The following is a 24,555-nucleotide window of genomic DNA, read 5'->3' as shown; positions in this document are numbered from 1 at the left end:
CACTTCAACTGCAATGTTGGTTATGATAAGACGGGGTGAGCATAAGTGTTGTGGGAGACCCAAGCAGGGACATTTAGCTCAACTCGGGGGTTTGGATCAGGGAAGGCTTCCTGGGGGAGAGGATGTTTATGCTGAGTCTAAAAGCATGAGCAGAGTTAGCTGTGGGAGGATGGGTAGAAAGGACAGTTCAAGCAGAAGGATGGCCTGATGAGCACCGCAATGAGAAGCCACACGGTGGGTCTGGGTAAATATCAGGAGAGTGAGCGGTGAGAAGTGAGACTGCAGAAGGCCGGAGCCAGGCAGGGTTTGGACAGAGCATGGCACCTGGTTCTGCATCCCATCCTGATGACAGTTGGGAAAACACCCCAGAAAGGGTTTCAGCCTCAGGCAGAAGCTGCGAGAAAGTGTATGGGAAGTTCAGAACAGTCCCCATTGGCCAGAGAAGTAGCTGGGGGAGGAGGTTGCCACCCAGATGCTTTTCTCACCCAAGCCACATATGAAATAATGAGTCAGCGAATGCCAAAAGTTAGGAAATGAAGATAATAGTACTTAACTCAAGATGCTTCTGGGTTTTGTAAAAGCTAGAATTAAACGCCTTGAACTTTTCCTTGCACTTATGTTAAATGACATCATGACACTATAAAGAGTGGGAGATGGGTGTGTGTGTTTCTTTTTTCTTCTTTCTTTCTCTCTTTCTTTCTTTCTCTTTGTCTCTTTCTTGCCCTGCCTGCCTGCCTTTTTCTCTCTTTCCTCCCTCCCTCCCTCCCTTCCTCTCTCTTTTTCCCCTTCCTTCCTCCCTCCCTCCCTCCCTCCCTTCCATCCATCCTTCCTTCCTTCCTTCCTTCCTTCCTTCCTTCCTTCTTCCTTCCTTCCTTTGTTGTTGCTTGAGCCAGACAGGGTCTTGCTCTCTTGTCCAGGCTGGGGCACTGTGGTGTGATCATAGCTCACTGCAGCCTTGAACTCCGGGGCTCAAGTGATTCTTTGCCTCAGCCTCCTGAATAGCTAGGACTACAGGTATGCACCACCATACCTAGGTAATTTATTTTTAGAGACCAAGTCTTGCCCAGACTGAACTTCCGGCCTCAAGCAACCCTCCCATCTCTGCCTCCCAAGGTGCTGGGATTACAGGTGTGATCCACTGCGCCTAGCCACCTGGGTGTGTGAATTACAAGCAAAAAAGAAAAGGAGAGGAAGAGAAGAAACAGTAAAGTATTGTTCTGTCCAAAGGACTCTCTGTGGCCCAGAATTATGTGCATCTATGGTCTGGAAGGAATAGAGAGGAGGGTTTGGAAGTTGTCCTTGGAATGCCTTCTTCAATCCCTTTTCATATTTCTTGTTTCCTGTCTTCATATTAAAATAGTTTCTACCTTGGGGCCCCAAGCTGAAAAGATATAACTAAATTTACTAAGATGTATATGTGCATAAGCAATACTTACTTTCATGGCAAGAAGGAAGGCACCATGAGACATCAGAAGCTAGAGATAATCTAGCCCTACTATGTCCCTGTGGGACAGACGAGAAACTGAGTCTCAAAGCCATTAGGATAGCTGCTACCAAAAAAGCAGAAAATAACAAATTTTGGCAAGAACGTGGAGAAATTGGAAACTGTGCACTGTTGGTGGGGATGTAAAATGGTGCAGCTTCTATGGAAAGCAGTATTATGCTTCTTGAAAAAAATTAGAAATAGAATTACCATAGGATCTAATAATCCCACATCCAGATAGATACCCAAAAGAATTGAAAACACAGTCTCAAGGAAATATCTGCACAGTCATGTTCATGGCAGCATTATTCACAATAGCTAAAATGTGAAAGCAAACCAAGTGTCCATCCATAGATGAATGGCTAAACAAAATGTGGTATGTCCATACAATGGAATATTATTCAACCTTAAAAAGAGGGGAAATTCTGACATTAGCTACAACACAGATGAAACTTGAGGACATTATGATGAGTGAAATAAGTCAAACACAAAAGGACAAATTCTGTATGATCCCTCTTCTATGAGTTACCTGGAGCAGTCAAATGTATTGAGACAGAAAGCAGAATGGTGGTGCCAGTGGGGAGGAGGAAATAGAGAGTTCTTGCTTAATAGGGAGAGTTTCCGTTTGGAAAGAAAAGAGACATGAGGACAGATTGCACAACAGTATGAATGTACTCAATGCCACTAAACTGTACACTTAAAAATGGTTAAGATGGTTAAGATGGTTTTATGTTATATGTTGTTACCACAATTTTATTTATTCATTTTTGAGATAGGGCCTCACTTTGTCACCCAGGCTGGAGTGCCGTGGCACAATCACAGCTCACTGCAGCCTCAAACTTCGGGGCTCAAGTGATCCTCCTGCCTTAGTTTCCAAAGTAGCTGGGTCCACAGGCATGTACCACCATGCCTAGCTAATTTTTTGTATTTTTTTTTTTTTTTTGTACAGATGAGGGTTTGCCATTTTGCCCAGGCTGGTCTCGAACTCCTGGCCTCATGCAATGCTCCCACCTTAGCCTCCCAAAGTGCTGGGATTACAGGCAGGAGCCACTATACTCAGCCTGCAATTTTAAAAACAAATAAAGAAATGAAGTCAAAGCTTCAGAAGCTTTGTCTGAAGCTGCACAACTAGTTAGCAACAGAGCCAGAATGGGGGTCCAAATCTCCCAAGCTCCAGCAGACGCCCCCCATATACACTATCACCAGAAAGTATCTGGGTCCCCGATGGCAGCTTCAAGCACCTGCACTAGCAGTGAGATTGCCATCCTCCTGATTTCTTCTGCAAAAAAATAAGCACCTGCTTGTTGCACCCACTACAGTTGGGTTGTGTGTTACTGCCTAGCTTGATCCTAACCAGTACCATCATGCTAAGTGTCACATCTGCTGATCCACAGGCCTGTGCTCTCTGCACCACATCTAGTTTGGACGAACATGGAAAGGCTGCTGCAGGCTTGTCACCCCATCACAGCCCTCACAAACACAACTCCTCTACCAGAGAGTGGGAACTACTGGGACCCGGGAGCCATTCCTCAGTGTGTGTGTGTGTGTGTGTGTGTGTGTGTGTGTGTGTGTGTGTGCGTGTTTGTACGCAGATATGTTGCAGACCAAGAGCTGAACACTGAGAATATGTAAAGCCACAGAGATGGAGAAAAGCAGAGTGTGATAATTATGAGACATTGCAGTCATCATGCTTGGTGAGGGGAAAGAGGAGGGGCCGGGCAGTAGGTGTTCCTGGGACATTCCAGGTAGGCCCCAGATGCTTTGAGTCTTTGGGAAATATGAGGTCCATTTGGACTCCATGCCAGGCTGCTCCCCCCACACCGGGGATGAGGGCAGACAAGCTGCTATTCTTTTAATTTACCCTCCAGTCCCCTTCTTCACTCCAGCGGGGTCCTGTTGCCCTCTGTGAGCCCTGCTTCAAGGCCCAGAAGGCACCCCAGGAATTCTCACTTCCAAGATTGTGTTCCTGCCATTCACTCACCTGGAAAGGCTCCCCTGCCTGCCCAAAGCCTCCCTGCTGTTATGCAGCCATCCTCTCATCCTGTCCTCATCCAGGGTCCTTGTCCTTGTCCTGGCTTCTTCCCTGAAGACTCTGCAGACCAGCCCCCAGGGTGGCCCGCCCCTCCTTGGCTTTTCCTGCCTGAGGTCACAGTACATTTATTGAGCTCCAGCTGTGTACCTGGCACAAGACACCTATGCTAGGACCCCCTAACTCTCCAACAGCCTGTGAGACGTCAATGGGCACGTGAGAGGCGACTGACTGAGACTCAGGAGGGGCTGTAACTCTTCCAACGTCAGGAGCAAGCAAAGGGAGAGCCAGGACTGGGCTCCAAGGCCGAAACTCTGCAATTGATCCTTTCATTCCTGGTCAGTGGAGAGCCCTCGAACCTCCTGTGCTTAGGTCAGTGTGGGTGGGGCCCAGCTGAAAACTCAGTAGAGCTGCATCAGTGATTCTCCACCTTCTGGCTTCCAGTACCCCAGCCTTTCCAGATAGCTCTGGATGGAACGCCTCTCGGGAAGAACATGGGCGCCCCCGCCTTCCTAAACACACTATTCTGAAAAATCGTGTCAGCTTTTCCCACAGCTCAAAGGTGTCCTTTTACCACGTCCCATGCTTCACCGCAGTGTAGAGATGGCCCTGGGGGATGCAGGAGAGAAAGAGCCATTTGCCCCTGCAGTAATTCTCCAGCTCTCGGATCTGCTGAAGATGATTGATCCCCATCTAGTTCTAGATCGGTCAGTCCCCATCTAGATCGGTCAGCCGCCTCTCACGCACACATACACAGTTGTCATTACCAGATTCTGGTAGCGTAGCCCTCTGGAGCCTGCCCTGTCCCATGACCCACTCTGCTCTGAGCTGGGAAAACCCACTGTCTGGAACTATATCTAAAGGTCTAGGGAGACCACAGTGGTGAGGCAGAGGCAAGGGCTTTGGAGTTTGAACTCTGACTATGACGCTGAATGCTGGGGGACCTTGGGCAAGTGACTTCATGTCCCTCAGGCAAGGTTTCTGAACCAGTCAAATGGGAATGGTAACAGCTACCACTCACAGTTGCTCTGGAGGTCCGTGGAGAAAATTCCCAGAGAGCACCAGCGCAGCAGGTGCAGAGTCCACCCTTCCAAAGCTCAGAGGACTCACCACCTCCTGGAGGGCTGCCCTTTCCACCTGTTCCCCAGAGAGGAGCACAGAGCTCAGAGTCTGTAGAACACAGATCAAGGCTTATTAGGCCACACAGCGTGGGGAGTTAGAGACTCACTCCTCCTCCCCGGTTTCCTCCTCCAGTTTTGCCTACCTCACTGAGTACTGAGCTCACGATAGGAGACGTAGAAGCCCTTGGTAAGGGATCCTGCAACACCAGATAAGGCGTTAGTGTTTTTATCATTGCCTGTGCTTTGCAGGCAAGGACTTGGAGATTCAGAAGGGCAAGAAGCCTTCTCAAGCTCACGGACAGAAAGCAGTGCCCTTAGACTCCAGTCTGCTGCTGGCTCTGACACCCACTGGCTGCAAGGCAGGTGGGTAAAAAAGGATAGAGAGAAAGAATAAGGGGGTGAATAGACTACCCCAGCACTCCTGGAGCCTCAGACCTGCCCATTATTGCAGGGTTGACCTATTAAAGTAAGCACATCTCCCAAATACAAACAGGTTTTTCCAAGACAATAAAGTCTAAGCTCTGCTTGAGGAAAGACCATTTCCTCCATTCCTTAGGCTGCTGCCCTACCCTTGGAGCCAGTTGGGCCTCACTGGGTGGAGTCATGAAAAGCCACATCAGCCTTCGGTGGCTGCCCCGCTACTCCTCTCTCCTTCCTTTGTTCCTTCCATCCACAGTGTTTATTGAGCACCTACTTTGGGCAAAGCTATGTTTGAAGCATTGAGGACATAGCTGTGAACAGAGAAAGTTCTTGCCCACTCTCAGGTCACAGGACACACATAGCAGAACTCATGCATAATATAATTTCAGGACAGGAGAACTGTAATTTAAAAATTTAATCAGGGGAGGGTGATACAGACTAAGCTCTTTGGTTTTAATTCAAATTTCTTTCTTTTTATTATTTATTTATTTTGAGATGGAGTCTCACTCTGTCACCCAGGCTGGAGTGCAGTGGCGCGATCTCGGCTCACTGCAAGCTCCGCCTCCTGGGTTCACACCATTCTCCTGCCTCAGACTCCCGAGTAGCTGGGACTACAGGCACCCGCCACCATGCCCGGCTAATTTTTTGTATTTTTAGTAGAGACAGGGTTTCACCGTGTTAGCTAGGATGGTCTCGATCTCCTGACCTTGTGATCTGCCTGCCTCGGTCTCCCAAAGTGCTGGGATTACAGGCATGAGCCACCACGTCTGGTCTCAAATTTCATTTTTTTCTTTTGTTCCTCAGTACACATAGTGCAAAATAAAAAGCTGCAAAGGAATACACAGTTAAAGCTTTTTTAACAGTTTATGTTTTTCAAAAACACCATAAAGAGGGTAAAAACGCAGGCCTCAAACTGGGAGAAGTTATAACTGATAAGGATTTAAATCCATACCATATAAGAAATGTCTATAATTGGCTGGCCACGGTGGCTCACACCTGTAATCCCAGCACTTTGGGAGGCCAGATCACCTGAGGTCAGGAGTTCGAGACCAGCCTGCCCCACATGGTGAAACCCCACCTCTACTAAAAATACAAAATTAGCCAGGTGTGGTGGTGTGCACCTGTAATCCCAGCTACTCAGGAGGCTGAGACAGGAGAATCACTTGAACCTGGCAGGCAGAGTTTGCAGTGCGCCGAGATCATGCCATTGCACTCCAGCCTGGGCAAAAAGAGCAAAACTCCATTACAAGGAAAGAAAAAGAAAGAAAGAAAGAAAGAAAGATCTATAATTTAATAAGATCAACAACCCAATAGAAATATAGGCAAAAGTCAACAACAGGCACTTGGGGGTTGATAAATAATAAGAACAAATACTTAAAGTCGTCTGTTATTGCAAATGCAAGCTATCTCAGTCCATTTTGGATGCTATAACAAACTACCGTAGACTGGGTGGCTTAAAAACAGCAAAAATTTATTCTCCACAGTTCTGGAGGCTGGGAAATCCAAGATCAAGGCCCTGGCAGACATAGTGTCTGGTGAGGGCTGGCTTTGTGTTCACAGATGGATAGCCATCATCTCACTGTGTCCTCACATGGCAGAAGGGGCGAATGAGCTCTCTGGGGCTCTTTTCTAGGAGGGATCCACCCTCCTGACCTCATTACCTTCCAAAGGCCTCACTTCTCGATACCATCAAACACTGGGGTTCAGTTTTCTTTTTTTGAGACAGAGTCTCACCCTGTCGCTGGAGTACAGTGGGGCTATCATGGATCACTGCAGCCTCAATCTCCCAGGCTCAGGTGATCCTCCCACCCCAGCCTCCCAGGCAGCTAGAACTACAGGCACTCACCACCATGCCCAGCAAATTTTTTTATATTTTTTGTAGAGACGGGTTTCCACCATGTTGCCCAGGCTGGTCTTGAACTCCTGGGCTCAAGTGATCCTCCAATCTGAGCATCCCAGTGCTGGGTTTATAGGCCTGAGCCACTGTGCCCAGCTGGGGTTTAGTTTTCAACATATGAATTTGGATGGACACAAACAATCTATAGCGCAAAGACCATAATAAGTTACCATGTACTGGCCACCAGATTGGCAAAAATGAAAAAGTCTGACAATATCAAGTGCTGCTGAGAATATGGAACAATGGGAACTTTTTATTGTCTTTTAGAGACAGGGTCTCACTCTGTTACCCAGGCTGGAGTGCAATGGCATGATCATAGCTCACTGCAGCTTCGAACTCCTAGGCTCCAGCAATCTTCCTGTCTCAACCTTCAAGTAACTAGCACTATGGGCATGAGCCATCATACCTGGCTAATTTTTTTTAAATTGTTTTTTGTAGAGATGAGATATCACTATGTTTCCCAGGCTGGTCTCAAACTCCTGGGCTCGAGCAATTCTCAGCCTCAGCCTCCCAAAGTGTTGGCATTACAGGCATGAGCTGCTGCCCCTGGCTTCAGTGGGCACTCTTAGACCCTGCTTGGGAGTGTAAGTTCAAGGTAAGAGCAGAAAATAGTGAAGCACAGTGCAAAGATCACATACTCAACAAAGCCAAAACTTAGTTCTTTGGCAAAAGCCAGTAAAATTGACATTTTGGACAACAATCTGACATTAGCAATTAAAGTTGAAGTTGTGTGGCCCCTACAACTGAGCAATTCCACCCAAAATATTTGCCCTAAAGAAACTCTCGGCTGGGCACAGTGGCTCATGCCTATAACCTCACACTTTGGGAGGCCGAGGCGTGGATGACCTGAGGTCAGGAGTTCAAGACCAGCCTGGCCAACATGGTGAAACACTTTCCCTACTAAAAATACAAAAAAATTAGCTGGGCATGGTGGCCCACGCCTGTAATCCCAGCTTCTCGAGAGGCTGAGGCAGAATCACTTGGACCTCAGAGGCGGTGGCTGTGGTGAGCCGAGATGGCGCCACTGCACTCCAGCCTGGGTGACGGAGTAAGATTCCATCTCAAAAAAAAAAAAAAAGAGAAAAAAACAGAAACTCCCGCTTTCCGCGCTACCCACAGAGGGGTCCATACGGCGTTGTTCTGGATTCTCACTGTAACTTAAAGGGAAACTTTCACAAGGTCCGGAGCTTTTGATGTCCTGCAAATGAAGGAGGAGCATGTCCTTAAGTTCCTTGTGGCAGGAACCCACTTAGGTGGCACCAAGCTTAACTTCCAGATGGAACAGTACATCTGTAAAAGGAAAAGTGATGGCATCTACATCATAAATCTGAGGAGGACCTGGGAGAAGCTTCTGCTGGCAGCTCGTGCCATTGTTGCCATTGAAAACCCTGCTGATGTTAGTGCCATATCATTCAGGAATACTGGCTAGACGGCTGTGCTGAAGTTTGCTGCTGCCACTGGAGCCACTCCAGTTGCTGGCCGCTTCACTCCTGGAACCTTCACTAACCAGATCCAGGCAGCCTTCCGGGAGCCACGGCTTCTTGTGGTTACTGACCCCAGGGCTGACCACCGGCCGCTCATGGAGGCATCTTATGTTAACCTACCTACCATTGCTCTGTGTAACACAGATTCTCCTCTGCACTATGGGGACATTGCCATCCCATGTGACAACAAGGGAGCTCACTCATTGGGTTTGATGTGGTGGACGCTGGCTCGGGAAGTTCTGCGCATGCGTGGCACCGTTTCCCGTGAACACCCGTGGGAGGTCATGCCTGATCTCTACTTCTACAGAGATCCTCAAGAGATTAAAAAAGAAGAGCAGGCTGCTGCTGAAAAGGCTGAGACGAAAGAGGAATTTCAGGGTGAATGGACTGCTCCAGCTCCTCAGCTGCTACTCAGCCTGAGGTTGCAGACTGGTCTGACGGCGTTTAGGTGCCCTCTGTGCCTATTCAGAAGTTCCCTACTGAAGACTGGAGGGCTCAGCCTGCCACGGAAGACTGGTCTGCAGCTCCCACTGCTCAGGCCACTGAAGGGGTAGGAGCAACCACTGAATAGTCTTAAGCTGTTCTTGCACGGGCTCTTCAGCAACATGGAAATAAGGTTGATGGAAAATAGACATCAGTTTCTAAAAAAAAAAAAACAACTCTCAAACATATGCACGGGAACATGTATAAGAATAGTCGTAACACTACAGTTTGTTATAGAAACACACTGGAAACAATTCAAATGTCCATTATCCGTACGAATACAGAAAATGGCATATTAGCACAAAGAAATAGTATATAACAGAGAGAATAATTTTTACAGCTACACACAATGTGAATGCATCTCAGTATCATAATCTTGAGATATTATTTAAAAAACCAGAGCAATTCTTAGAATACACATAGCGTGATTCAGAAATGAAAGCGTGCAAAACCAAACAACATACTGTTTAAAGATGCAAACGTATAGAATGAAACTATTGAAAAAAACACAAGGGGATGAAAAACACAAAAATCAGGGTAGTGGTGGCTGGGCACAGTGGCTTACACCTGTAATCCCAACACTTTGGGAGGCTGAGGAGGGCAGATCGCTTGAGCCCAGGAGTTTGAGACCAGCCTGGGCAACATGGTGAAACCCTGTCTCTACTAAAAATACAAAAATTAGCAGGGCGTGGTGGCACATGCCGGTAATCCTAGCTACTCGGGAGGCTGAGGCACAAGAATGGCTTGAGCCGGGGAGGCAGAGGTTGCAGTGAGCCGAGATGATGCTACTGCACTCCAGCCTGGGTGACGGAGTGAGACTCCATCTCAAATAAATAAATAAATAATCCTCACTCCCTTCTCCTCTGTGGATCTGGTTTTACCTGGGAGTCAGTGCACCAGGGCATAGCTAACAGCAGACCCTTCACTGTTCTGGCCCTCGTTATGGGTTCCATGCAGGAGGCTGATGGGGGATGGTCACCGGGAGACGGAGATTCTACCGTGACTTTGCATTTGGCTGCCAAGCGGCCTTGCCTATAGCCTTCCTTCCCACCTTGAACTTGAGCTTCCTCATCTGAAGATCACAATGGTTCTGACTGTCCATCATTTTCCCCAGCACACATCAGCTGTCATCATTTTTTTTTTTTTTTTTTTTTTTTTTTTGCCGCTAGTATAATTTCAGGTCAAGGACAAGAGCAGAGTTGAAAGAGCAAAACCCTCAAAGGTCTAGCCCTTCATCTTGACAAATCCCTGACCTCACATGGACAGCTCAGCATGGCAAGGCAGTGTGGAGCCTGGGAAGTTGTTAGAACAAGATTCTGTTCACTCAGCTCTGCTGCCTCCTCTCCCTCGGATGTGACCTCAGACATGAGCTGGCCAGGGCTGGCCCTCTGAGTCAGCCCTGAGTCCCAACTATACGCCTTCCCCGTGGGGCTGCTGGCCTCAAAGCCTCCTTTAACAAAGAGGGCAGGAGGATGGATGATTCGGCGTGTGTAATATACCCAAGTGCAGATGAATAATTGATGTGTTTGAGTATTAATAAGCAGGAACTGGCTATTTTAGCCAGTAAAGCCAAAAAGATATTCTGTTAAAGCAAATCCTCCAATCTACACCGAAGGCAAAAAAAAACAAAAAGCAAAAAACAAAAAACAAAAAAAAACACGTAAACAACAACACCTCTAAACTTCCTGAACCCCCTGTTTTTAACAGAAACCTACTTGGAAGAGATTCTTTTTTTATAAGCATGTTATTTTAAAAATTACAATTTTAGGGTTGAAATGTTAAAAGGACTTAGTGTGTGTGTGTGTGTGTGTGCATGTGTGTGTGTGCGTGCATGTGTGTGCATGTGTGTGTGTCTGTGTGCGCGCGTGTGTGTGCGTGTGTGTGCGTGTGCGCGCGTGTGTGCGCATGTGTGTGCATGTGTGCATGTGTGTGCGTGTGTGCATGTGTGTGTGCGCGCGCGTGTGTGTGCATGTGTGTGTGTGCGCACGCGCGCGCGCGTGTGTGTGTGTGTGTGTGTGTGTGATGGTGCCACTGTCTTCCATTCCTCAGGCCTGGCCCTGAGCAGCACACTGTCATTCCTGACTCTGTTTTTCGTTTGTTTGTTTTGTTTTGTTTTGAGACGGAGTTTCGCTCTTGTTACCCAGGCTGGGGTGTAGTGGCGCTATCTCGGTTCACTGCAACCTCCATCTCCGGGGTTCAAGTGATTCTCCCGCCTCAGCTGCCTGAGTAACTGGGATTACAGGTACCCACCACCACACCTGGCTAACTTTTTGTATTTTTAGTAGAGACGGGGTTTCACCATATTGGCCACGCTGGTCTCAAACTCCTGACGTCAGGTGATCTGCCCACCTCAGCCTCCCAAAGTGCTGGGATTACAAGTGTGAGCCACCGCGCCTGGCCAGAAACAATATAATCATATGAATAGGCCCAGAAAAAGCATTTGACAAAATGCAACACCTTTTTTTGAGACGGAGTTTTTCGCTCTTGTTGCCCAGGCTGGAGTGCAGTGGCGGGATTGGCGGGATCCGGCTCACTGCAACCTCCGCCTCCCAGGTTGAAGCAATTATCATGCCTCAGCCTCTCAAGCAGCTGCGATTACAGGCACGTGGCATCACGACTGGCTAATTTTTGTATTTTTAGTAGAGACAGGGTTTCACCATGTTGCCCAGGTTGGTTTCGAACTCCTGGCATCAGGTGATCTGCCTGCCTCGGCCTCTCAAAGTGCTGGGATTACAGGCGTGAACCACCATGCCTGGCCATGCAACACCTTTTTTTAGAGACAGGGTCTAGCTCTGTTGCCCAGGCTATAGTGCAGTGGCACAGGCATACCTCACTGTAGCCTCAAACTCCTGGGTTCAAGCAACCCTCTTGCCTCAGCTTCCTGAGTAGCTAGGAATACCACCATGCACCACTACACCTGGCTCATTCTTTAAAAACATTTTTTTTTAATTAGAAATGGGGTCTTGCTATGTTGCCCAGGCTGGTCTCGAACTCTGGGCCTCAAGTGATTCTCCAACCTTGGCTTCCCAAAGTGCTGAGATTACAGGTGTGAGCCACCATACCTGGCCCCGAGACAATTTCATGATAAAAACAAAAAACAAAAAAACACCCTTAAACTAAGAATAGAAAGGAACTTTGTATAAAGGGCATCTATGGGCCAGGCGAGGTGGCTCACGCCTGTAATCCCAGCACTTTGGGAGGCCGAGGTAGGTGGATCACCTGAGGTCAGGAGTTCGAAACCAACCTGGCCAACATGGCGAAACCCTGTATCTACTGAAAATACAAAAATTAGCTGGGCGTGGTGGTGCCCACCTGTAATCACAGCTACTTGGGAGGCTGAGGCATGAGAATTACTTGAACTGGGGAGGCAAAGGTTGCAGTGAGCCAAGATCATGCCACTGCATTCCAGCCTGGATGACAGAGCGAGACTCTGCCTCAAAAAAAAAAAAAAAAAGAAAAAGAAAAGAAAAAGAACACATCCTGAGATGTGACAGAGTTAAAAATAATAATAATAAAGAAAAAGAATGCAGGCCGGGAGTGGTGTCTCACACCTGTAATCCCAGCACTCTGGGAGGCCGAGGCTGGTGGATCACCTGAGGTCATGAGTTCAAGACCAGCCTGATCAACAGGGTGAAACCCTGTCTCTACTAAAAATACAAAAATTAGCTGGGCGTGGTGGCACGCTTCTTATCCCAGCTACTCGGGAGGCTGAGGCAGGAGAATCACTTGAACCTGGGAGGCAGAGGTTGCAGTAAGCTGAGGTTGAGCCATTGCACTCCAGCCTGGGTGAGAGAGGGAGACCCTGTCTCCAAAAATAAATAAATAAATAAATAAGTAAATAAATAAATAAATAAATAAATATAAATTAAAAAAAGAGGAACACAGTGTACCCAAAGAGTGTTAAAAGGACATAGTAAGCAGAAATTAATGAAATCCCAAAGATATAATTAGATCAATAAAGCCAAGAAACAGTTCTTTGTAAAAACTCATTAAAAAAAAAAGGCAAAACTCTAGCCTGGCTAACCAAGAATAAAACAGAGAAAGCATGGGTAAGCATTAGAAAACACAAAGGGAGATATAACTACAGATGTTCAGAGATTTAAAAAATAAGGAAATTCAGTGAACAAATTTGCATCAATAAATTTGAAAGCTTATGCAAAACCAATCAGTTCCTTGAAAACGGTATCATCATAACAACCCAAGAAGAAATAGAACGTTAATAGCTCTGTTACTTTTAAGGAAATCAAAGCAAACCCAAATAATTTTCAGGTGAATTCTACCAAATTATCAAAGAAGACATTATTTCAGTTCTATACAAATTCTTTCAGACAAGAAGAAAAGCTGAAAATCCATGAACTATGCAAACATCTCAGGAAACTTGAAAAGGAACAGCAAACCAAATCCAAAGAAAGTGTAGGATAGGAAATAATAAAGAGGAAAAATAATGAAATAAAAAACAAACATATAATAGAATCAACAAAGCTAAAAGTCTCATCCCTGGTGAAACTGACCAAAGAAAAAGAGAAAATTGCAAAAAAAAAAAAAAAAAAAGTCAAGAGTGAGAAAAAGGCCAGGTGCAGGGACTCACACCTGTAATGCCAGCACTTTGGGAGGCTGAGGCGGGTGGATCGCTTGAACCCAGGAATTCGAGACCAACCTGGGAAACATGGCAAGACCTCCATCTCTACAAAAATACAAAAATTAGGCTGGGTGCGGTGGCTCACACCTGTAATCCCAGCACTTTGGGAGGCCAAGGGTCGGGGTGGGGGTCGGGGGCGGGGTGGGGGGGCGGGGGCGAATCACGAGGTCGGGAGTTCGAGACCAGCCTGACCACATGGTGAAATCCCTTCTCTACTAAAAATACAAAAATTAGCCCGGCGTGGTGGCCCGCTTTTGCAGTCCCGGCTACTCAGGAGGCTGAGGCAGAAGAATCGCTTGAACCCGGGAGGCGGTGGTTGCAGTGAGCCAAGATCGCGCCACTGCACTCCAGCCTGGGCAAGAGTGAGACCTTGTCTCAATAAATAAATAAATAAATAAATAAATAAATAGTATATGGAAATACAAAAGAATGAGAATATCCAAAAACTCTCCTAAAGAAGGGGAACAGGCTGGGCGCAGTGGCTCATGCCTGTAATCCCAGCACTGTGGGAGGCTGAGGTGGGCGGATCATGAGGTCAGGAGATCGAGACCATCCTGGCTAACACAATGAAACCCCGTCTCTACTAAAAACACAAAAAATTAGCCGGGCGTGGTGGCGGGCGCCTGTAATCCCAGCTACTCGGGAGGCTGAGGCAGAAGAATGGCATGAACCTGGGAGGCGGAGCTTGAAGTGAGCCAAGATCACGCCACTGCACTCCAGCCTGGGCGACGGAGTGACACCTTGTCTCAAAAAAAATAAAAAATAAAAATAAAAAAAGAAGAAGAGGAACAAGTCAGGACAATTACCTCACTGCCTGTCAAGGCTTATTATAAAGTATGGTAATTAAGGCAGTGTGATTAGTGCACAAATACAAAAATCGTCCAGTGAACCAGCAAGAAAAACTCCGAAGCAGACCAATACACATGGATACCTGATTGACAACAGAGGGCATTGCAGAGCCTGGAGAACAGTCTTCTTCTTTTTTTTTTCTTTAGACGGGGTTTCTCCATGTTGGCTAGACTTGTCTCAAACTCTTGAGCTCAAGCAATCCACCTGCCTCAGTCTCCCAACGTGCTGGGATTATTGGCGTGAGCCACCACACCCAGCCCGCCACTTGTATATTTTCTTTGGAAAAATGTGTATATAGACGCTTAGCCCAATTTTTAATTGAGCTGTCTTTTTATTATTGAGTTGTAAGAATTATTTACATAGCAGTGATATCATGGAAGATGACACAGTAGAAAGTGCCAGGAATCTGTCGCCCCCATCTAGACAACAATCTGGCAGAATCTGTCTGATGCAACTATTTTGGAACTCTGGAGTCCATCTGAAGGCCTGCAGTTTCCAGGGGAAGGCTTGTATCTTACTCCTTTTTGTGCTGCTATAACAGAATGCCACAGACTGGGTAATTTACAAGAAAATAAATCCATCGGCTCACAGTTTTGGAGGCTGGGAAGTCCAAGATCAATGAGCTGACATCTGATGAGGGTCTTCTTATGGTGTCAGCCCATGGCAGAAGGGCAAAGAGAAGAGAGAGAGAGAAAGAGAGAGTAAAAGGGGGGCTTAACTCTTCCCCCTTCTTTTTTTCTGAGACAGAGTCTCACTCTGTCACCCAGACTGGAGTGCAGTGGTGTGATCATAGCTCACTGAGGCCTCAGTCTCCTGGGCTGAAGCAATCCTCCCACTTCAGCCTCCCCAGTAGCTGGGACTGCAGGCATGTGCCACCATGCCTGGCTAGTTTTATTATTTTTAGTAGAGACAGGATCTCACTATGTTGCCCAGGCTGGTCTTAAACTCCTGAGCTCAAGCAATCCTCCCACCTTGGCCTCCCAAAGTACTGGGATTACAGGTATGAGTCACTGTGCCCAGCCTTCTCCGTACTATAATTAACCCACTCCCATAATAATAAATGCATTCCCAAGATAATGGCATTAATTAATTCACTCCACTCTCGGGGCATAATCATCTGTTATTTTTATTTTATTTTATTTATTCTTGGAGACACGGTTTTGCTTTGTTACCCAGGCTAGCGTGCAGTGACATGATCATAGCTCCCTGCAGTCTTGAAATCCTGGGCTCAAGTGATCATCTCACTTCAGCCTCCTGAGTAGCTAGGACTGCAGGTGTGTGCCACCACATCTGGCTAATTTTTAAATTTTTTATTCTTTATTTTAAATTTTATTTTTAGAGTCAGGGTCTTGCTCTGTCTCCCAGGCTGGAGTGCAGTGGCATGATTACAGCTCACTGTAGCCTCAACCTCCCAGGCCCCAGTATCCTCCCACCTCAGCCTCCTGAGTAGCTGGCATGTGCCATCATGTCCTGCTAATTTTTTTATTTTATTTTTTGTAGCGAGGGGGTCTCCCTATGTTGCCTAGACGGGTCTTGAACTCCCAGGCCCAAGCAATTCTCCTGCCTCAGCCTCCCAAAGTGCTAAGATTACAGGTGTGACTCACCACACGTGGCCCTAATCATCTCTTAAACCTCCCAACTCGTAATACCGTTAAAATGGCAATCAAATTTCAACATGAGTTTGGAAAGGGGCAAATATCCAAACCAGAACAGCTTGAATGTGAATCCTGGTTAATTTCGGTCAGTGTCCTCTCATGGTAGTGGCTATGCATTCCCCAGCCCCTCAGCCCTACATGCAGTCATTCTTGGAATAGCTTGCAGCACCCAGGGTTAGCACATAACCTTGTCCTCCAAATACTGGAGATGTGTATTCTTTTTTTTTTCTCCCAAGATGAAGTCTTGCTCTGTCGCCCAGGCTGGAGTGCAGAGGTGCCATCTCGGCTCACTGCAACCTCCGCCTCCCGGGTTCAAGCAATTCTCCCACCTCAGTCTCCAGAGTAGCTGGGATTACAGGTGTGTACCACCATGCCTGGCTAATTTTTGTATTTTTAGTAGAGACAGGGTTTTACCATGTTGGCCAGGCTGGTCTCGGACTCCTGACCTCAGGTGATCCGCCTGCCTCAGCCCCCTAAAGTGCTGGGATTACAGGCGTGAGCCACCGTGCCCAGAAGAGATGTGTATTCTCATCACTGGCTGCTGCTTCTGATTGCAGAGGTTCAGACACAGGGGGGACTGCCATTGTTACAACCCCACTGGCTAAAGCAGCTTCCAGAGCATTGAAAGAGATAGAGGCTGGGTTTTGAGGTTTTTTTGTTTTTTACTTAATTATTTATTTACTGAGACGGAGTCTCACTCTGTCGCCAGGCTGGAGTGCAGTGGCGTGATCTCGACTCACTGCAATCTCTGCCTCCTGGGTTCAAGTGATTCTCCTGACTCGGCCTCCTGAGTAGCTGGGACTACAGGCGTGTGCCACCATGCCCAGCTAATTTTTGTATTTTTAGTAGACACGGGGTTTCACCATGTTGGCCAGGATGGTCTTGATCTCTTGACCTCATGATCCGCCGGCCTCAGCCTCCCAAAGTGCTGGGATTACAGGCTTACGCCCAAGCCACCGCGCCCGGCCTGTTTTTTATTTTTTTACCCTTAATTTTTCCCTTTTCTCCTTTTAGTGGCCAAACAATTAAGGACTAGGACATTCAAAAGCAACCACGTATACAGGAGAATTTAGAAAGTCACCATTCATGCCTGGAAAGACAAAGCCTCAGAAAAGACCCGAGACAATCTCAAGTTTACACCTCAAGTTCATCCCCTGCACAGAGACACCTTACAACAATTTAAAAAGAAAAACAGGCTGGGCATGGTGGCCCACACCTGTAATCCCAGAACTTTGGGAGGCCGAGGCAGGTAGATTGCTTGAGCCCAGGAGTTTGAGACCAGCCTGGGCAACATGGTGACAACCTGTCTCTACAAAAAAAAAAAAATATTGGCTGGGTGGGAGGCTGAGATGAGAGGATTGCTTGAGCCCAGGAGGTAGAGGCTACAGTGAACCATGATAGTCCCACTGCACTCTAGCCTGGGCAATAGAGTGAGATTCTGTCTTGAAAGAAAGAAAGAAGGAAAGAAAGAAAGAAGGAAGGAAGGAAAGAAAGAAAGAAAGAAAGAAAAAGACAGACAGACAGACGTGGGTAAAGGAGAGAACCTGATTTCCACAGTTACCATATTGTAACATTCAAAATCCTGTTTTCAACAAAAAAATCACAGGCATACAAAGAAACAGGAAAGTGGGTTCATTCATAGGGAAAAAATATATAGAAACCATCTCTAAGGAAGAACCACACGGCAAACTTACTAGACAAAGACATTATAACAATGGCCTGAAACTTATTCAGCCTTTTCTGAGGCTTTGTTTTTGTTGCTATTATTGTTGTTGTTGAGACAAAGTCTTGCTCTGTTGCCCAGGCTGGAGTGCAGTCACATGATCTTGGCTCACTGCAACCTCTGCCTCCCGGGTTCAAGCGATTCTCCCGCCTCAGCCTCCTGAGTAGCTGAGATTACAGGCAACTGCAACAAGGTCCGGCTAATTTTTGTATTTTTAGTAGAGACGGGGTTTCACCATGTTGGCCAGGCTGGTCTCGAACTCCTGACCTGAAGTGATCTGCCCGCCTTGGCCTCCCAAAGTGCTGGGATTACAGATGTGAGCCACCGCACCTGGCTGGCTTTGTCTTTAATGCTTACTAGACAAAGCATTTTGTCTGACTAATAATGCTCAGAGAGCTAAAGAAAGATGCAGATAGAGACTAGTGAACAATACAGTCAGGATGGCTAAACGTGATCCCAGGAAACCAAAGGACAAAATGTCTGCTTATGCCTTCTTTGTGCAGATGTGCAGAGAAGGACATAGAAGAAAATCCCAGAGGTCCCTGTCAATTTTGCAGAATTTTCCAAGAAGTCCTCTGAGAGGTGCAAGACAGTGGGAAAGAGAAGTCTAAATCTGATGAAATTGCAAAGGCAGATAAAGTATGCTATGATCGGGAAATGGAGGATAACAGACCAGCTAAGGGAGGCAAGAAGAAGTTTCCTAATGCCCCCAAAAGGCCATCCTCTATATTATTTCTGTTCTGTTCAGAATTCCTCCCCAAGACCAAATCCACAAACCCTGGCATCTCTACTGGAGATGTGGCAAAAAGCTGGGTGAGATGTGGAATAACTTAAACGACAGTGAAAAGCAGCCTTACATCACAAAGGCGGCAAAGCTGAAGGAGAAGTATGAGAAGGATGTTGTTGACTTTAAGTCTAAAGGAAACTTTGATGGCACAAAGGGTCCTGCTAAAGTTGCCTGGAAAAATGTGGAAGAAGAATATGAAGAAGATGAGGAAGAAGAAGAAAGAGGAGGATCATGAATAAAAAAAAATCGTTTAACTGTCAAAAAGAGAAAAGAAGGACGCAGACAAAGCCAAGCAAATTATTTAGGGACAAAATGGAAAGATCAATAAAAATATAGTGAACACAAGAAGGAACCAAGAGGAAATTCTGTAGCTGAAAAGTACAATAACTGAAATGAAAAATTCATGGAGGGATTCAGAAGCAGATTTGAACAGGCCGAAGAAGGAATCAACAAACTTGAAGATAAGAAAACTGAAATGATTAAGTCTGAGGAACAGAAAGAAAGAGGACTGAAGAAGAGTAAACAGGGTCCAAGAAACCTGTGGGACACCATCAAGTAGAAGAATGCACACTGTCAGGGTGCCAGAAATAGAACAGAGAGAGGGAAAGAGAAAATTAAATTATTGGCTGGGTGCAGTGGCTCACAACTGTCATCCCAGCATTTTGGTAGGCTGAGGTGGGCAGATCACTTGAGGTCAGGACTTCAAGACCAGCCTGGCCAACATGGTAAGACCCTGTCTCTACTAAAACTACAAAAATTAGCTAGGAGTGGTGGCAGGTGTCTGTAATCCCAGCTGCTTGGGAGGCTGAGGCAGGAGAATCACTTGAACCCAGGAGGCAGAGATTGCAGTGAGCTGAGATTGTGCCACTGTACTCCAGCCTGGGCAACAGAGCAAGACTCCATCTCAAAAGAAAAAAGAAAATGAGATTATTATTGTTTTTAATCGATAAATAATAAGAGATTATTTGAAGAAATAATGGCTGAAAACATCTCAAATTTGGTGAAATACATGAATCTAAACATCCAAGAAGCTCAGTGAACTCCAAGTAGGATGAATTTAAAGAGGCCCTCACAGAGACACACTGTAATCAAACTGCCCAAACCACAGATAACAGAGAGAATCTTTAATTTTTAAGTAATTAATTAATTAACTAATTAATCTTATAGATTAACTAACTAATCTTATAGATTAACTAACTAATTAATCTTATAGATTAATTAACTAACTAATTAATCTTATAGAGATAGGATCTTGTTATGTTGCCCAGGCTGGTCCCAAACTCCTGGACTCAAGCAATCCTCCTGCCTTGGCCTCCCAAAGTATGGGGATTGCAGGTGTGAGCCACTGCACCCAGCCACAGGTGTGAGCCAAGAGAGAATCTTGAAAGCAGGGAGAGAGAAACAAATTGTTACATATAAGGGATCTCCAGTAAGATTAACAGCAGATTTCTCAGCAGAAACGTTGGCAGCAAGAAGGCAATGTGTTGGTACATTTGAAGAGATAAAAGAAAAAACTGTCAATCAAGAATCCTGCTGGACAAGTTAGCTCCTTCCTGTAATTCTAGCTACTTAGGAGGCTTGAGGTGGGAGAATCACTTGAGGTCAGGAGTTCAAGACCAGCCTGGGCAACATAACAAGACCTCATCCCCCCCCAAAATTTTTTTTTAATTAGCCAGGCATGTTGGTGCACAACTGTAGTTGCAGCTTCTTAGGAGGCTGAGGCAGGGATGATCACTTGAGCTAAGGAGTTTGAGGATGCAGTGAGCTATGGTCACACCACTACACTCCATCCTGGCTGACAGAGTGAGACTCTGTCTCTTAAAAAAGAAGACAAAACAAAACAAAAGTAATCCTATACCTGGCAAAACTGCCCTCAGAAAAGAAGAAATGAAGGTATTCCCAGATAAACAAAAGCAGAAAGAGTTTATTACCACTAGATCTGTCTTACAGAAAATGCTAAAGGGACTTCTGCAGATTGAAATTAAAGGATATTTGCCATTATATAGGCAGAAGGAAGAAAGCAAAAATTAAAAAAAAATAAACTAAAGAACACTAGACAATAACTCAAAGTCCTATGAAGAAATAAAGATCTTCTATAAAGGTAAATACATGGACAATTACAAAAGCTAGTATTATTGTCATTTTGGGTTGTAACACCACTTTTCCTTTTATACATGATTTAAAAGACTAATAGTAAAAAGCCAGTAATAAGTCTATGTTTTTTGGCACCCAATGTATAAAGGTATAACTTCTGACATCATTAGCTGAGAGGGTGGTGGCAGAGCCGTATAGGGGCAGAGTATGATACGGCAGCCCCTCCTTACCCAAGGCTTTATTTTCTGTGGTTGCAGTTACTCATGGTCAACTGTGGCCCAAAAATATGAAATGGAAAATTCCAGAAGTAAACAATTCATAAGTTTTAAACTGTGCACCATTCTGAGGAGCATGATGCAATCTCTTGCTAGCTTGCTCCATCCTGCTTAGGATGTGAATCATCCCTTTGTCCAGCGTATCCACATTTTCTATGCTACCTGCCCCATTAGTCACTCAGCAGCCATCTCTGATCGGCTCTCACGGTGTCACAGTGCTTGTGTTCAAGTACTCCTGTTTTCATTGATAATGGCCCCAAAGGGCACGAGTAGTGATGCTGGCATTTTATCATCTCACATGATCATACGAAGGGTGAATAAAGTATAATAAGATATTTTGAGAGAGAGATAGACCACATTCACTTAACTTTTATTACAGTAGGTTATTATAATTGTTCTATTTCATTGTTAGTTATTGTTGTTAATCTCTTACTGTGCCTAATTTATAAATTAAACTTTATCATGGGTATGTAGGTATACAAAAAAATACTATATACATAGTAATCAAGTCTTTTTTTCTTTTTTTCCTGACCTCAGGTGATCTGCCTGCCTCAGCCTCCCAAAGTGCTGGGATTACAGGCATGAGCCACCTTGCCCAGCCCGACTGTATATATTCTTTAACATACATAAAACAGTACTTTGAGAAAGAAAGCAAAGAAAAATGTAAAAAGCAGGACAATTCTAAAAGCTCTCAGAGAGAGAGAAATTAACCTACTAAGGAATGAAAATCCAATCACATCAAATTTATCAGCCTCATTGGATGCTTGAGGACCCTGGAGCAATGCCTTCAATGTTCTCAATAAAAATAATCTGAAACTTGAAATTCTATACCTAGCTAATTTACCAACAAAATGTTAGGGCAGAATAAAAACTTGTTTTTTTTTTTGAGATGGAGTCTCGCTCTGTTGCCCAGGCTGGCGTGCAATGGTGTGATCTCAGCTCACTGCAACCTCTGCCTCCTGGGTTCAAGTGATTCTCCTGCCTCAGCCTCCCGAGTAGCTGGGATTACAGGTGCCTGCCACCATGCCCGGCTAATTTTTGTATTTTTAGTAGAGACGGGGTTTCACCATGTTGGCCAGGCTGGTCTTGAACTCTTGACCTCAGATGATCTGCCCACCTCGGCCTCCCAGAGTGCTGGGATTACAGGTGTGAGCCACCGTGCCAGGCCTAGAATAAAGACATTTTTAGAACTACATGCTGTGGAAGATTCTATTATTACCTAGCAAATATTCACTCCTTTCCCCTGAGCTCTGTGGGAGGTGCCGACTTCCTTGCTCCGTTGCTGTTGGACTGAGCCGTGTGACTTGCTTTGGCTAATCAGATGGAAGCAGATGTGTGTGACCCAGCAGAAACTTGAAATATGCTTGCCATGGGCCTGGGCTTGTGTCTTTCACCAAGAGAGATATCAGTCTGGTAGCTGCTGGTTCACGTGGGACAAAAGATGGTTGGAGCAGACTGGGAGCTGATCCGCAGTCCAGAGTCAAGCCCAGCCAGGCCTGGCCTGGACCCGCTGAACCACAGTTGAGCTGCAGATATGTAAGGAAGAAATAAATGGTTGTTTCGCCACTGTGCTTTGTGGTAGTTTGTTATACAGCAAAACCTAAGACACATGGACTCAGAATAATTTCTCTCCCACATACCCTTTCTGGAGAGGTTCCTTGGTGATTTGCGATGGCAGAGAGGGGAACACATGGGATCCAGGAAACAGAAGATTCAACTCAGACAGCAATGAAGGAAGACCTGGGAGACAGTGGGTGCAGGCTCGGACTGGAGCAGGGCACGACAGCAGCGGGAGAGAGGCGTCCTGAAAACAAGGTGATTCCACAGATGCCAGAGCACCCTTGAGATTCTGGAAGAGGCTTGAGATGCAGTAAAGGAAGACAACGCAACACAGAAAGAAAAGCAACTTGCCATCGGGCTTGGTGGCTCACGCCTGTAATCTCTACACTTTGGGAAGCCAAGGCGGGCAGATCGCTCAAGGTCAGGAGTTCCAGACCAGCCTGGCCAACATGGTTAAACTCCATCTCTACTACAAATACAAAAAATTAGCAAGGCGTGGTGGCGAGTGCCTGTAATCCCAGCTACTCGGGAGGTTGAGGCAGGCAGGAGAATTGCTTGAGCCCAAAGGTGAAAGTTGCAGTGAGTAGAGATCGCGCCACTGCACTCCAGCCTGAGTGACAGAGCGAGACTCCGTCTCAAAACAAAACAAAACAAAACAAAAAAGGCAACTTCCAACTCTAGGGAAAAAAGCAAAAGTTGAATAAAGAAAAATGTGGCACTGCACAACTTGGTTCTACAGTGATGACATTTTGTATTATCTTATAAAGAAAAGTGTTGGCCGGGCGCGGTGGCTCACGCCCGTAATCCCAGCACTTTGGGAGGCCGAGGCAGGTGGATCACGAGGTCAGGAGATCGCCTGGCTAACACGGTGAAACCCCGTCTCTACTAAAAATACAAAAAATTAGCCAGGCGTGGTGGCGGGCGCCTGTAGTCCCAGCTACTCAGGAGGCTGAGGCAAGAGAATGGCGTGAACCTGGGAGGCGGAGCTTGCAGTGAGCTGAGATCGTGCCACCTGCACTCCAGCCTGGGCGACAGAGCGAGACTCCATCTTAAAAAAAAAAAAAAAAAGAAAAAAGAAAAGTGTTGCCCCAATCTTCGCCTTTAGAATCGACCTATAAGTAAAGGACAGAAAGCTTTATTCTGGGCCAGGTGCAGTGGCTCACGCCTGTAATCCCAACTCTTTAGGAGACTGAGGCAGGGGGATTGCTTGAGTTGAGGAGTTCAAGACCAGCCTGGGCAACATAGTGAGATCCAATCTCTACAAAAAAATTAAAAAATTAGCCAGGTGTGGTGGCATTGACCTGTGGTCCCAGCCACTTGGGAGGCTGAGGTGGGAGGATCCCTTGAGCCCAGGAGGTCGAGGCTGCAGTGGGCTGTGATGGCACCACTGCACTCCAGCCTGGGTGACAGAGTGAGACCCTGTCTCAAGAAAAACCCAACAACAACAACAACAACAAAAAACCAGTTTATTTCTACTGCAAGCAGATTATAAATACTATCAATTCTGACAGTATAAAAGTAATAGTACAGACGACTTAAGTTGGGAGTTGGAAGGTGGAGGTTATAAAGCCAAGGTTAGAGAAACAAATATCTTCATCTTCCCTTGTTGGGAATCAAGAGAAGCCTCTATGGATAGAAGAACCAGTAATAAAATCGCAAATATTATGTTTAAGCTTATGGAAGGAACCAATAGAGGGATTGAAAATAATAATAATGGCCAGGCGTGGTGTGAGCCACACCTGAAATCCCAACACATTGGGAGGCTAAGGTAGGCGGATCACTTGAGGTCAGGAGTTGGAGACTAGCCTGGCCAACATGGTGAAACCCCATCTCTACTAAAAATACAACAACAACAACGAAAATTAGCTGGGAGCGGTTGTACATGCCTGTAATTCCAGCTACTAGGGAGGCTGATGCAGGAGAATCGCTTGAACCTGGGAGGCGGAGGTTGCAGTGAGCTGGGATCACACCACTGCACTCCAGCCTAGGCAACAGAGTGAGACTCGGTTTAAAAAAAAATGAAAATAATAATAGAAAATAGTAATAACCACATTGA

The 24,555-nt window shown here is 46.0% G+C and overlaps 2 pseudogenes, besides 2 other annotated features; both read left to right on the top strand.

Annotated features, from left to right (window-relative positions):
- RPSAP5 (ribosomal protein SA pseudogene 5) lies at positions 8,052-9,081 on the top strand (annotated as a pseudogene).
- Positions 10,338-10,995: an enhancer, noted in NCBI's record as "H3K27ac-H3K4me1 hESC enhancer chr14:103838386-103839043 (GRCh37/hg19 assembly coordinates)". NCBI's record gives its function as "activates a minimal SCP1, AML or CMV promoter by ChIP-STARR-seq in primed H9 embryonic stem cells {active_cell/tissue: H9 hESC(primed)}" and the evidence as "EXISTENCE:reporter gene assay evidence [ECO:0000049][PMID:30033119]".
- HMGB3P26 (high mobility group box 3 pseudogene 26) lies at positions 18,200-18,829 on the top strand (annotated as a pseudogene).
- Positions 20,540-21,739: an enhancer, noted in NCBI's record as "MED14-independent group 3 enhancer chr14:103827642-103828841 (GRCh37/hg19 assembly coordinates)". NCBI's record gives its function as "activates an origin of replication core promoter dependent on BRD2, BRD4, P300/CBP and CDK7 cofactors, and independent of MED14, by STARR-seq in HCT116 cells {active_cell/tissue: HCT116}" and the evidence as "EXISTENCE:reporter gene assay evidence [ECO:0000049][PMID:35650434]".

This window comes from Homo sapiens, chromosome 14, assembly GCF_000001405.40.
Source record: "Homo sapiens chromosome 14, GRCh38.p14 Primary Assembly".
NCBI lineage: Eukaryota > Metazoa > Chordata > Mammalia > Primates > Hominidae > Homo > Homo sapiens.
This window is presented reverse-complemented; position numbering and strand designations above follow the sequence as displayed.